Source organism: Homo sapiens, chromosome 18 (genome assembly GCF_000001405.40).
Source record: "Homo sapiens chromosome 18, GRCh38.p14 Primary Assembly".
NCBI lineage: Eukaryota > Metazoa > Chordata > Mammalia > Primates > Hominidae > Homo > Homo sapiens.
Window position 1 is genome coordinate 36,507,598 of NC_000018.10, and position 14,332 is coordinate 36,521,929.

General features: G+C 43.9%; 1 protein-coding gene across 45 annotated transcripts in view, besides 4 other annotated features; it reads left to right on the top strand.

Moving 5' to 3' along the window:
* The window catches only part of FHOD3 (formin homology 2 domain containing 3), a 482,508-nt gene that overhangs the window by 209,885 nt on the left and 258,291 nt on the right, over positions 1 to 14,332 (top strand). For all 45 annotated transcript variants that reach the window (XM_011526189.2, XM_011526190.3, XM_017026008.2 and 42 more), the window contains one exon: positions 4,841 to 4,946. In XM_011526189.2, coding sequence (XP_011524491.1) covers positions 4,841 to 4,946 — 106 coding nt within the window. The remainder of the gene's footprint in view (positions 1 to 4,840; positions 4,947 to 14,332) is intronic.
* Positions 4,395 to 4,595: a silencer, noted in NCBI's record as "peak3119 fragment used in MPRA reporter construct". NCBI's record gives its function as "represses an SCP1 promoter by STARR-seq MPRAs in K562 erythroleukemia cells {active_cell/tissue: K562}" and the evidence as "EXISTENCE:reporter gene assay evidence [ECO:0000049][PMID:32103011]".
* Positions 10,699 to 10,886: a silencer, noted in NCBI's record as "fragment chr18:34098259-34098446 (GRCh37/hg19 assembly coordinates)". NCBI's record gives its function as "represses an EF-1alpha promoter that drives an FKBP-Casp9 reporter gene in an ReSE screen in HepG2 liver carcinoma cells {active_cell/tissue: HepG2}" and the evidence as "EXISTENCE:reporter gene assay evidence [ECO:0000049][PMID:32094911]".
* Positions 11,230 to 11,809: an enhancer, noted in NCBI's record as "H3K27ac-H3K4me1 hESC enhancer chr18:34098790-34099369 (GRCh37/hg19 assembly coordinates)". NCBI's record gives its function as "activates a minimal SCP1, AML or CMV promoter by ChIP-STARR-seq in naive H9 embryonic stem cells {active_cell/tissue: H9 hESC(naive)}" and the evidence as "EXISTENCE:reporter gene assay evidence [ECO:0000049][PMID:30033119]".
* Positions 11,810 to 12,388: an enhancer, noted in NCBI's record as "H3K27ac-H3K4me1 hESC enhancer chr18:34099370-34099948 (GRCh37/hg19 assembly coordinates)". NCBI's record gives its function as "activates a minimal SCP1, AML or CMV promoter by ChIP-STARR-seq in naive H9 embryonic stem cells {active_cell/tissue: H9 hESC(naive)}" and the evidence as "EXISTENCE:reporter gene assay evidence [ECO:0000049][PMID:30033119]".

Genomic DNA, 14,332 nt, shown 5'->3' on the forward strand with positions numbered 1-14,332 from the left:
ACTATAAATGAATGGACTGGGTAACTTGAATTGTCTTCTAGAAGATGTCTCTGTCTTCAGTCTTTCCTGTCTCTAATTTGGTAAATATTGTGCTAACTAATTAATTTTCCCAAAGCTCCACTTCAGAGTATCCACGTGTGTCTTCCTGATACTAAGCTGAACACAACAAACTTCTTCACCCTCCATTATGTCCTCTTCTTGGACTCAGATCCCCAACTGCAGTTGGGCTAGACTCTTCTTATGCCAGCAGAAGGCCATGCTCACACCACTCCTCCCCCTTCCTCATTTAGTCTATCAGCCTGCCTATTGTCTCCATTCTTCAGCTTTAACTTCTCTCACACCTGATTGAGAGCTGGTGGCAGAGCTACACAGCTAATAGCTATTCCAAGTGACTTAAAAACACTGTAATTTGTGCAGTGTTAGTAAAATATACCCTAAGAACAAAAAGAACCACCAAAAACTCCACAACCACAACAAAACTGTTTACAATAATCATATTGGTGGTGATAGTGTTGGTATTACTATTCTGAGACTGGTGTGTGTGCGAGAGATTCTAATTGTCATTCTAAGCATTCTTAAAAATTAGGATTCTTAAGTTTAACAACTCTGTGTTCCTGAATTTAATTGGAAATATCAGAATGAACCCATGTATATTATCTTAAGCAAATAAGCTTTTTTTTTTTTAAAAAAAGCTAGAAGCAATAATCAATTCATTAGCAAAAAGCACCACTAGCAACGAGATTGTGGTCTGAAACACCAAAAGGCACCAGAGCTCCTTGGAGAAGTGGCTGATTCCAAGTCTGGAGTAGGAAACGTAATAAAATAAACTAATTAACTTGGAACATCTTATACAGAGAGCAAGAAAGCTATTGAATAGTCTAGGATTATTTCCAAAAGAACTCAGAAGCAAGTTGAAGGGTCTCCCACTGGCTGGCCAAAGATGGAACAGTGAGCATCAGTAAGGGTGATAATTGCACTGGATCAAAACACACAAACTAAGTTTGTATTGATGAATTCATAGTGACACTACAAAATAACAATGGATTGACAAAAAAAAAAAAAAAACAGGTGAAAGATGCTAGCAAACTAGCTTACTATTTTGCAGATGAATTAAGTTTCAGTATCTCACATTTATTTTGCCTTGTCACTTATGAACTTTAGGATGATCAAATAGTTGAAGGGAAGTCTTGTTTGTAGAAATATTCTACCTAATAAGCAAGAGGGAGTAACAGAATGAGAATATTACCATCCATCAGCCTCTAATGAATGATTTAATGGATCTATGTGGTGAGCCCCAAGAGCTGCTGACATGATGAGCATGAGATTCAGCTAGGTATTACATGCCTCCCAGTGGAAATACAAACTACCATCAATGATGCGGTCAAGCCAAAAAAATCACCTCTGGATCTACATGCCTCTATATGCAATAAACTATTTATAAATGATCCAAGACAGAGGTACATGTTAAACTACACCACAGGGGTGTAACCAACAAAATCTGGACTGTGGGCTACTGTACAGGACAAATGACCCGGTTTCTTCAACACACAAATTCCAACAGAAAAGAAAAAAACTCTTTGAATTAAAAGATGTTCAAGAGTCATATCAACTAACTGCCATGTATGAGTCTTATTTGGATCCTAATAAAACTGTGAAAAACAGTATTTATGCAAAAAGAAATTAGCCGGGCATGGTGGCGGGCGCCTGTAGTCCCAGCTACTCGGGAGGCTGAGTCAGGAGAATGGCGTGAACCCGGGAGGCGGAGCTTGCAGTGAGTTGAGATCGCGCCACTGCATTCCAGCCTAGGCAACAGAGCAAGACTCCATCTCAAAAAAAAAAAAAAAGAAAAAAAAAAGAAAACAGTATTTATGAGACAGTTGGAAATTTGGTCACTGACCAGACATTTGATAATGAGAAGTACTAATTTTTTGTGAGTGCATATTTTTAAGAAGAGTTCCTGTAGTTTAGAGATACATATTGGAATGTTTATGAATTAAATGATGTGATGTATGGGACTCGCTTCAGATTAATGTGGCAGGGGAACAGGTAGGATGATCAATGAAATAGGGTTGGTATGTGTTGATTGGCACCTGGGGTTCACTAGATTATTCCGTTGTCTTTTGTATATGTTTAAAGTTCTCTGATTTGAAAACATTAAAAAATAAACATGCTTGGACTCTTGTAGATCACTTCAACCAAGTTCACTCTGTAGTGTTTGTTCTCTGAATTCCCAGGACCGTCATTAAGCAAATATTTTTGAGCAGCCTCGTTGGCACCATGTAGGCAAGGAAGAAGCTGCTTGTTACTAGAAGTTTATAGTCTGTTTGGAAGACCACACACATGTGCGCAAAAACAGCACTCCACCACAGGGCAGCGATGCATGGGGGATTAACTGGATTACACAGGCAGCGGTGCTGTCTGGGCATGGATCACCACCTTCCATACCCGTGGGTCGGCGTCTCCATCATCTCTCATGTTTTCTAGGTGTGGAAGTTCTTTTCCAAACTAAATTGTAAGTGTCTGAAAAACAGAGGCATTGGTCATCTCTTTGGGTTGAATATTCCTTGACCAATAGGCATTTAAAAAATGATCACAGCTTAATATATGGCTATTAGAGAAAATTCTGAAATGCAGCAATAAGCACCTATCAGTGTTAACATTTTGATTTCATTCTATTCTGAAACCAATGTTTTAAAAATCATTTCTTAATGCTCATATATTTTAGGATATATGTGTAAAATCTAGCACATTGCCAATTTGGAAGATTTTTTTCCACATTAATTATCAATAAATTTCTCCTTCCTGAGTGCCTTATCTACATATGTGCATAAATTTCAGTTCTGAATGATTTTTATAAACACTGTCTCGCCTGTCCAGTGTTTTTTCCAAGTGCCTTTGCCAGACAGTCAATTCTCTGGTATATTAATATTAGTGATTAGCTTGAGTGGTTTCTTGAGAGCTTGTTCTCACTTTTTCACCATGAAGTCATGTGTGAATCTAGTTTTAGTTAAAGTAATAAACATTTGTTACATGCTTGGAAAAACTTTCTGACTAGACATGAGCTCATCTAAATGTTCACTTTTCACATATGCTGGTGGAAAAGGATATGGAGGGAGAGAGAATTATTTTTTATTTCCTTTATACATATGAGTGTAAAGTAATTTTCCAAAAACTCATGATATTGTCCCATTTTCTTTCTTCCAAAGCCATGATTATCTTGAAGTCTGAGTTAACACAGCTGTCTTTCATTACGTTCAGGGCGCAGACATCACTCACCCACCCTTCCCCCCAGGTCAGCTCTGACCCTGAAGAGCTCTTTCCTGGTTCAAAGGGAGCCTTTGCTGAGCCTGGCCACATTTACCTGGTCCCCCATCCATATAATTGAAAAATGCCATAAAAATCAAAATAAGGGGCTGATTTCATGTAGGAACAGGAGAATTATGCCAGTTCATCTACATTATTTTTTCTCTTTTGGAGATAAGCCATGGTTGCTGACTTTTCCTATAATAATAACCTTTCATTATTCCATTGAGCTTTCTACCATTTACATCACTGAGGTTTTTTATTTTTGCCCTGTTGTGATCATTTAAGATGAATGTTTCAGCTTTATCCTAGATGCGTTTGAGACAAGGCACTGTCCAATTGAGGAAATCTCCCAATCTCAGTTGAGGAAAACAATGGTGGAAAAATCCCTCTCAGCTTGGTACTATGAAAAAAATGACTGGGTTTGGGTCTGGCTAGTTAAATGATCTTGCCAATGTTTTTTTTTTTCTTTTCTTTTCTTTTTGCCACTCCTGAGTCTTAGTGTCTTTATCTGTAAAGAAAAGCTACCATTAAATCAGTGGTTCTTGAACAGGCAACCCTTGAGGATTTCCTGGGGAATTTAATAGAGCCTGGGCCCCACCCCAGAAATTTGGATTAAATCCATCTGGGTAAGGTCCTGCTTTCTGGTCCTTCTTAAAGCTCTCCAGATGATTCTAATGTGAAGGAGTCTGGGGTGAGAACCGTCTGAGCTCTTCAGAATCACCTGCTTCTGAGCTTGAGAAACAGGGCCTCCCGCTAGAGATTCCTAATCAGGAGGGCCGTAGTGGGGCTAACAAGTTCCTAGGCAATGCCCTTGCTGCCAGTCTCTGTTGGCTGATAGGTCTGGAGACTTCTGTCTGAGAACCACCGGATGAGATGACCCCTGAAGTTTCTTCCATGTCCTGCCTTCTGTGATCAGGTCTGCAAGCCAGCCAAGGCGGTCCTTTCGAGGGATTGCGTGGCTGCTCCAGGTTAATGTCCAACCCTGCACCCTGCTTCCATGCTTGTCCTACAGGCAGCACAACTACTGGAGGTTGGATAAACTGCTTCCTGTGGTTCTCAGCCCTTGCAAGAGCCTTTTCTGTAATCTCTGTCCCAAGGGCTATCTTTGGAACACATTAGTGGCTTTGAGTTCCTCACCTGATAGTCTTTGCTGCAATCAAATGTTTCCTGCAGTAGAAAACCAGCAAGCTTCTCCGTGGCCAGTCCCTTGGGACCGTGGGGGAGTAGAGCCTGGTGTTTCTTGAAGAATGAAAAACAAGGCACTGTAAATATTTCTGGCAGTGAGGAGATTCATTTGCCTTATCTTTATTAGATTGCCCAGAAGGCAGCAATAACTGGTGTTTGGCAAAGGACAATGTTAGGACTGGTTGTAAAATTCTTTTGGCAACAGTTGATATGCTTCATTTGAATACAGCAGAGCAATCTGTAGGGTCCATTCTGGCTTTAAAGGCTTGTACATAGTTTTAGCAGCACAGCTGGGATGGAAGGTGGACAGGGACAGTATTTGAAGTATTTTTGTTTTCTTTCCTGCCAGGATGACAAGGATTTGGTGCATGAATTTGTAGTGGCTGAAGGTCTGACATGTTTGATCAAGGTGGGAGCTGAGGCTGATCAGAACTATCAGAACTACATCTTAAGGGGTAAGTCATGACTGGGCATGCAGCAGCTGCCCCAGCTGCAGGGGGGATCTGGGTTCACCTTCAGGAACTTAACTACTGAGAGCTTTTTAAAAGACTTCGATTTGAGAGTAAGGTGGTAAAGACACCCTTTGGCAAAAAAACATCTGCCATAGGTAAAACAGGTTTTACCAGTTCCTAGTAATTAGCAACTGTGCTAATTTTTACTGACTTTCACCTGGAGTTATTTTACACGCTTACTAGGAAAACTGTACCACTCACTGGGTTCTTTATAATCTGTCTTATTTGTCCAGGAAGGAGACATACTAAATGGGCTTGGGTAAAGCCTGCATCTCAGCAGAAAGCCACCCCAAACCAAAGGGGGCAATTTATTTCTTGGAAAAAAACATTTTCTCCCAATTTGAGTTATCACCTGGGGCTTTTGTCAAAGTGCATATTTTTCACCTTGTCTTCCTGTTTCTGATTCGATAGTTTTGAGCGGGTCCGGGATTTGCCTTTTAAAGAGCGATTCTGATTTCATTTATAAAGCGATGCAAATGTAGAGTTTGAAGCACTGATTCCTGTTCCAGTTTATAGTTAATGGTGTTTTTATAGTCATAGGTTTTTTTGTGCACCTTCATATAAATTTCATTTGATCCTGTAAAAAAAAAAAAAACAAATAACAAACCTGTGCATAGGCAGGGCAGGAATGATTAGGTTGAACCGTATGAAATTGCTGCTATCAACAGTTTTGACCTACAAAAGAAGAAATTTTATATCGTCCAATATTATCTACATTTTCCAGTTGAAGAAAATTGAGACTCAAAGAAGTCATTAAATAATAAAGTCAATTCCCATAGTGTGCCAGGCAGCAGCTGTGCCCAGGCACTGAGGCATGTCAGGCGGGTCAGGGTTCTGCCATCCCCTCTGTATCTATGCCTGTGACCCCACAGACTGCATGTTCAGCGCTTGTAGGAGAAAATAAAACTACCAAAACCTTCCTTTCTTTTCTTCTTGGGTGAAGGAAGAATGAAAATCATACATGAAAAGTATGATTTAATATCAGATGTCTGTGTTTGGAGTTGAATGAGACAAGCAAACTGACACAGTCATCTCAGCTGTTTTGTTTTGCCCCGAGAATGCTTCCTTATGTTCTGTGGCGTTTTCCAGCCAATCAGAGCCTTCATCCCTCTTTCCCCTCTTCTGTAGAGCCACTGCAATTAAAAGCAACAGAGAGAACGTAGGGCTCATTAAAAAAAAATTAAGGTTGTCTTTTCAAGTCAGTGTTGTTTTGTTCATTTTGATAAACGGCAAATGTGTGTGAGAGTTCCTGAGCCTCTCACTTTGCTGACCCATGGTGTGTGCAGCAGTGTTTGTGGGGCTGCGGAGTTGGCTCTTTTTGTCTACTTTCAGTCTTTTTCTGGTCTTGTAATAGATCCTCCATTACAAGTTGTCAGGAGAGATGCTTTATTGCTGAATTTTGCTATTTCTATTCTTTTTTTTTTTTGAGATGGAGTCTTGCTCTGTCACCCAGGCTGGAGTGCAGTGGCGCGATCTCGGCTCACTGCAAGCTCCGCCTCCCGGATTCACGCCATTCTCCTGCCTCAGCCTCCCGAGTAGCTGGGACTACAGGCACCCGCCACCATGCCCAGCTAATTTTTTTGTATTTTTAGTAGAGACGGGGTTTCACCTTGTTAGCCAGGATGGTCTCGTTCTCCTGACCTCATGATCCGCCGGCCTCGGCCTCCCCAAGTGGTGGGATTACAGGTGTGAGCCACTGCACCCGGCCTCTATTCTTAATAATATAAACATTTATATCAAAGCTGTTGTGCCATGTTGCATCTAATCGCAGCCGTCTGTGTGTCTAAAGAGATGAGTGCAGGCCTGGATTCTCACTCTTGTGTGTCTGTTCACTTTGGTCTAACACCTAGACAGGAGGAAGGTGCAGAGATAAGGGTGGGAGAGCTTCCTCTAGTTTATTTTCCGGGTATAATATGGATGCCCATATGTTGAACCACAGGTAATCACCTAATTCTGAATAGTGGGTCCACACTGACAATATATTTTTTGTTCATGTTTAAAGTGTACATCATTTTAACATTACCAAAAAATAAGTTATCCCCAACACACAGAGACACACCTCTAGAGAGCTAATATTATAACCATCTTCTGTTTATCCTCATTCTTCTGACCCTTACCTAGGAGCACATTTGTGTATTTCTATTGCATCAGCGCAATAGTTTACCTCCAAGCCCAGGCGAGGGGCACAACTCTGCCCGCTGTGGTCAGAACTCACCCATTCCCTAGACCTCACGTGGATTAGAACTGGATTACATGACCCCCTGTAGCTGCACGGGAGGCTGGCAGAGTGAGTGCCTTCCTAGACTCCACAGGGGAGGCAACAGAGAGAAAGGCTTGGGCTTGAGGTTATGAGTCCCAGCTGCATAGAGGGAGTTCGGAAAGAAAACTCAGCACAGCTGAGAAAGCCTTTTCTGGTGAGCCACAGTGAGGCCCCTCCCACCAGCGGCCTGCAGGCTTTTGAGGGAATCCTTGTGCATGGGCAGGTTAAACACAGGTCCTGGTGGTGAGGGGTATGAATTGTACTTGCTGGCAATGGGAGATGATGTTGATACAGGGAACTTCATCCACATCCTCTACCTTAGTGAATATTTACCATGAAGCTTACAGCCGTTTATTTTATTTATTTATTTATTTTGAGACAGAGTCTCGCTCTGTCACCCAGGCTGGAGTACAGTGGTGCCATCTGGGCTCACTGCAAGCTCCGCCACCCAGGTTCACGCCATTATCCTGCCTCAGCCTCCCAAGTAGCTGGGACTACAGGCGCCTGCCACCACACCTGCCTAATTTTTTTGTATTTTTAGTAGAGATGGGGTTTCACCATGTTAGCCAGGATGATCTTGATCTCCTGACCTCGTGATCACCCGCCTCTGCCTCCCAAAGTGGTGGGATTACAGGCGTGAGCCACTGCGCCCGGCCACAGCCATTTATTTTGCAGTGTTCTGACCTGAATCAGAAAGGTGCCAGAGGCAATTCCCGAATGTTTAAGTCTCAGAACACTCATGACCAGGGGAGAGCCCGTCAACCACCTGCTGCTTCTGTTTTCTAGCTTTTCTGCCTGCCCTTCTATGACATGCCAAGAAGGTGAGGCCCTAGCTGCAGATAGGTCTTCCAAAATGTGAGGAGACCCTATATTTCCATTGCCACCACCAAAGCCTTGCCTTCATATTTTCCTTTCTAATAGTGTCCCTTTACTGGCGACCAGAAGGCTCCCCATGCATTATCTGAAAGACGAGCACTCCACTCAGGCTACTGCAAGACATCCTTCTTTCCACAGAACAGAGGTGCCTTTGCATGCCTATGTCTCAGAAGACTTGGTCACCAGGGCACTGTGCCCAATTGTCACCACATTTTGATGTAACCAACCAAAGCTCATACCAGGAAAGTAACTTCTGAGGGATGGAAATGACACATTTCTTGGGACGTGACATTTGCGTTTTCCTGCAGGGAAGCTATGATTTTCCTTAGTTCATACATGGAGTCACTCCTTTGTGACTTTGAACAATTTCTCACGTAGGCTTTTTTTTAAGGTTCTGATAACTGCTGGCAGCCACTGGACATTTGCGATCAAGAACAACCTTTGAATTACCTCTTTATTTGTCCACCCATGTTTTAACTGTGCTGTCTTCGGTGGGGACTGGTGAGGGCAGATGCAGATCAAGAGAAGAGGCTGGGAAAAGTTTTGCAGTTATTTTATTCACAGTTCCCTGAGGAGAAGACACAGCACCCATGCAGGGCCACTCAGGAAGCACAGAGGTCGGCCATGAGGTGGGGGGAGAGGCAGACTGTGGGCAAACACCTGCATTGTGGCTTCCAAGGGACAGGCAAGCCAGCTGAGGATTGGCCCCGAAGCTCAGAGTGGCTCTGGAGTGGCGAGGGCCTGTGTATAGTAGCCCAAGGTGTGAGAGCCCCGTGTGGGAGAAGGTTGGGGTGTAGACTTAATGGGCTGCTGGAGAAGACGAACTGGCTGGTCGCTAGCCAGGGCCTCAAAACTGGGTTAAGCTGGACACAGTGGCACATGCCTGTCATCTCCGCTACTTGGAGGCTGAGGCCGGAGGATCACTTGAGCCTAGGAATTTGAGGTTACAGTGAGCTATATTTGCACCACTGCACTCCAGCCTGATTAACAGAGCAAGACCCTGTTTTTAAAAAAGCTGTGTCAAGATAGCATTTTAAAAAATGATATTGCAAACCGTAAGTTGGGTTAATTGTCCTAGTGTCTTGAGAAGTGTGCCCTCATGAAGCCACCTGAGGAGCTCTGCTCTGTGTGGCTACATGGGAGTCCTACAGCCCCAGGGGAAACAAAAGCATGTGGAGAATCCAGGACTTTCCCAGATCTGCTTTTAGAACTCTTTATTTGTCTTTATTTGCATACACAGCCCCCTCTCAGCATTTTTTTTTTTTAAGGCCCAGGAATCCGCTGCTTTCCTTTGAGGATGTGTCTGCTGAGAGGTAGAGATAGGTTTAGTTACAGTGTAGGCAAGTGCTGTCCAAAGCTGTGAGCAGGCTGCTGGGAAGAAGTCTTAACTGTACAACGTGGAGGAATAATATTTATCTGACTTATTATTCCTGGGTGGTTGTAGCTAATGATCTAAAGTTTTTTTGGGATAGCCAGTATTTAATTTAAGTGTACTGTGAAATTTTGTACCTCACAATTATTCTTATAGAAGGAGGACCTAGAGTGGTATATTGCTGGGAACTTAAACTTTCTGCACACATTACTGAGCCTTCTCTATGGGCCATGCACCATGTCAGGCCCTGGGGTTGTGACGATGGAACCAAGATTCACACTGTCTTGAAGCAGGTCCCTGTGGGGTCCCCTGCATGGCATGTTTTATATGCTGAATTGCATGTGTCTTGTATGTTTGGAAATTGCACATATGTACTGTGCTTTGGAGGAGAAAAGAGAGAGAGAGATAAATAGAAACAGTAAGACCAGCTACCCTTTCTGGCTGTAACTCAAGAGAAACTGCCTCTTCGGGCTAGCTTTACATGGAGAAATTTAATTTGGTCATTTCATCTAAACCAAAATACCAATTAATCATAAAACGCCTCAGTCGGTATCAGTTATTTTAAAAGCTGGATAAGATCTTAAAACGCATTTAACTCAACCTTTTCATTTTAGAAGAAAACTGCAGATATATTTTGTTTGCCCTCATATATTGTTAAATGTTTTAATGGTTGTCAGCATTTAAAAATTGGGAGATTTGATATTTTTTTAAAAATGCAGATTTCAGGCTTCTTTGGAAAAACTGTCCCAGAGTTGACTATAGTCCACTATAGGAAAAAATCCTCAAATGCCATTCATATTAGGGGATCCCTTAATGAGAATCAGGATGTATGGTCAGATGGTGTTTGTTGGCATTGATGGTACCAGAAATGGAAATATCATAGATATCATGGAAAGAGATTTTATGATGTTAGAAGGCAGTGGCACAAAATGATCAAGTGGTAATTAAACTAACATCCTCCTTGTCAGAAAAACTGAAGTTTATATTTTGGCACTTTATAAAATGCCAAAAAGAGCAGAGGTTGGGTTTAGACTACAGGGAAGGCACCAAACTAGCCCCAAGGTGAGGAAATGGGAGCAAAGGGGAAGAATTTCTTGCTTCCTGAACTAAGGTTAGGTCTTTGGCTACTGTATTTTCCACGGAACAACCTAGCCTGACTCTCTGCAACCTCATGACACTGGTCCTGTGTCCCATGCAGCTGGCTTGGAGGAAGCTCTTTCCTGCCTCTTGCCAGAAGGGTTTTCTGCTTTGGGTCTGGACTTCAGAGATTATCATGGTAGCTGTACAGCTAGGCTTTGATGTGGATGACCCAGGAGTCTTGGAGGTGTCTTCAGCTCCAGGTGGGTTGAGGCCAGTGTTAAGAATGGAGTCCTTCCTCATTTGATGTCTCTCCTCTTGCTGAGTGGTACAACAGGACTATTTCCAATAAAAAATCACTGCAGCGTAAGCAGACTGGCAGCCTGTGGGGCTGAATGGAACCTGCAGGTGTTTTGTGTGCCCTATCTAACAGGTTTAAAGATTGTGAATTATGAACATTTAAAAACTTGGAGATTTGGCATAAAAATACAGCTTTCTGGCTTTTCTTGAAGTACTGAAAACTTAAGCCGACCCAGGCCCTGTGGGATGTGGACTGGGGAGGGCTGGAGAAAGTGGCCCTTGAAGCAGAAAGATGCAATCACCACGTGGTGTTTGCTTTTTCTTCCTCCTGTAGTTGAAACCTCTGCTTTAGGTGTCTTGGGGCCCTGGCTGGGTCTGACCTCCATCTGGCCTCTCTTTCACGTCTCCTTGGCATGCTGTTAGGGATGTGGCCTCCAGGGTGAACCAGCCACACTGCCCAGGAGTATGGTCAGGGGCAGGGAAGCTGCAGCCTGTAACTCCCTGGGAGGGGAAGGGAGGCCAAATCACCCTGTTGCTGTTGATATGTCATGACACATGCTTCCCTGGAGTGTTCTGCATGTCCCGTCTGTGGCTCCTCTTGCCACCCACTGTCACTGTGCATCAGGCCTGCACCCTCTTAAGAAACTGGGCCAGAGAGTAGCTGAGACCTGCACTTGTGTCCTCCTCTTTCCAGCCTGTACGGGTGCAGAGGACCCCAAATGGACTTAAATTGGACAGTTCATAGCTCTCCCCTGGCCTGCCAGGCCACAGGATACTGTGTCCTTGTCTTGCTTTTCTGCCTGACTTTCTGCAGTGCTGCATTTCTCACAGGAGGGAGCTGGGTGCTGGCCCCACTGTTCCTCCTGGGTTAGCTGCCGTCTCTCTGGTGTTTCTGGATGGATCTGCCAAGGTCAGTGGGGTGTGGTTGGCCTACCCCTAGTCTCAGGGCTCGGGGACTCTCTTGTCCATGTCTCATTGGTCATTTGGGTAGATTTGGAGGAGGGTGGTTTGGAGGCTCCTCGCTGTGCTTCTTCTGCAAGTGCTGAATGATCTGAGTCATCATTGCTGTGGTCTGTGGCCTGATGGCTGTCAGCCCCCAGCACTGTGTGCAGGAGCACCATGGGTCAAGTGGGCAAGGAGCTCCTGCCAGGGGAAGCAAGGCAAGGCCAGGGCCAGATCCTGACCTTTGGTGGGACAAAGTGTCCTTTGTACACCCTCTGTTCTGAGGTAAGAGAGGGAAGCTGGGCTACTCCATGGGTGGGGCAAGCAGCATCCACGACCCTGAGCCCTTTACCTCATTGGGCAGCAAGTGCGATATTTGCCATCAGCTTCTAACTCTACCTAAGCACTTTGGCTCTAAGGTTGATTTTGGTTTTCCCTCTTACTCTCTTCCAAGGTATTTTTTCCTGTGATTAGTGAATGCTTGTCTCTGGGTAACTTTAGTTTATGAAGAGTAAGGCTTTTCTTTCATTTTTTTTTTTTTTTTTTAAAGAGATGTAGTTTTAGTCTATCACCCTGGCTGGAATGCACTGTTGCAATCATAGCTCACTGCAGCCTCAGACTCCTGGGTCATGTGATACTCCTGCCTCAGCCTCTCTAGTAGCTGGAACCATAGGCATGTACCACCATGGCTGGCTAATATTTTTTATTTTTTGTAAAGACGAGGTCTTACTATGTTTCCCAGGCTGGTCTCAAACTCCTGGTCTCAAGAGGTTCTCCTGCCTTGGCTTCCCAAAGTGCTAGGCTTACAAGCATGAGCCACCACGCCCAGCCTCTTTCAAGTTGTAATTTTTCTTAAGTATAAGTTAATTATGAATATTGTTGAATATAGCAAGCATTCAGTTGTAACAGAAATACTTCATGTAGAGCATCTTTCTAAAGAAAGACTAGGTAGCCCTGGCAAACATTATCTCCAGCTGGAGCATCATTAGGCTGAACCATGTGAGGTTGCTGGTATTTGACCACTTTTTACCTACAGAAAGGGCAAAATTGTATGGTTTAACTTAATATTAGTGTCCTAATTTCATCTTAATCTGACTCCTTCTTAGGTTGATTAGATGCTTCTTAAAGTTCATCCTGCATTCAATCTGGAATCACATTTTTCCAGAAATTCAGGCCACTTTGCAAACCAAAAAAAGCCCTGGCAATGTCCTGCAATCATGCCTCCGAGTGCTTCAGCTTAAAGAGCCATTGTTGTCTCAGTCTTGGCCAGAGAGATTTCTCCAGAATTTTAGTTTCTACTGGAAGTCTCTTTCTCCTTCCTTTTATCTGAGATGAGAAGGAAGAAAGAAAAAGTTATTTGGCCATTCCTACACAGAGAGTGTGGAATTTTCCACGACCAAATCTCACTTCTGTGTTCATCAGGAATTTTTCCACTTTATTCATACCAAAGATGTGCCTCCTCACTCTGTCCTTCTCTCCTTGCTCAGTAGACTTTTCCAGAGGAGCTGCTGGCTAGGTGTGCCTTGAAGCACAATCGTTATTTCCTTGGCTCTAATTTTATCTCACACATGGTCTTCTTTTACAAGGTTTCTATTTGTGAATCCAGCTTTATGATAGAAGAAAATGTCAACAGCAAGATTTAAACCTAGCCCCAAGCATGGATTAAAACTTTTTTTGTGGGTGGGGTGGTGGAGCTAAGACTTTCTGAGGAAATATCAGTTGGTGTGTTCATAGATTTCTGCATTTTGGAGGCTTGAGGGCTCTTGGTAGATTGGGCCAGCCTCTTGGCAGGGTACCACGCCTTTTCTAACCCTGTGATTTCCCCTGCCATTAATGTGCCCAAGACCTCCAGCCCTGGCTACTCTCCAATGCCTCAGGCCTGTGGAGCCAGCTGTGCCCTGGTATCTCCATCTCCATTGCACCAGTATCTCCATCTCCATTGCACCATGCCCAAACCCAAAACCCATGTTTTTATACCCCAGTCAGTTCCTCCACAGCTCTGTTCATCATCCCAACAAAGCGTAATCATTCATCACATTCAATTCAGCCACCCTAGGGTCCTCCTAACCCCTTTCTCTCATTCATTCTTTGTAATCATCACCCACCAAATTAGGGCTTCTCTAAACCTTGACTCCCTTTCAAGTCCTTCCATCTCTGTCTATACCCAGTTTTTGAGTTCAGATCATCATTTGTTCCTTCCTAACCTGCTCTACCAGCTGCCTCATGGGTCTCTCTGCTTTTAGTCCTGCCTCCCTTTGGCCCATTTTGCCCTCTGTTGCATGGATGGACCATGCACCATGATCTGTTCTCCTTAGTCCTTGGTTCAGCTTCTTTAGTGGCTCCTCTCATCCTCAGGGTGAAATCCCAGGCCTTCTGTGTGGGTAGAGCCCACTTTGGTCCTGCCCTCGTGTGTCGGTGCAGTCCACTGCAGCCACTCCCTGCCATCCCAGGGAGGGTGATGTTCTGTCCTGCAGACCTTGGCATCTGCCTACAAGGCCTCGC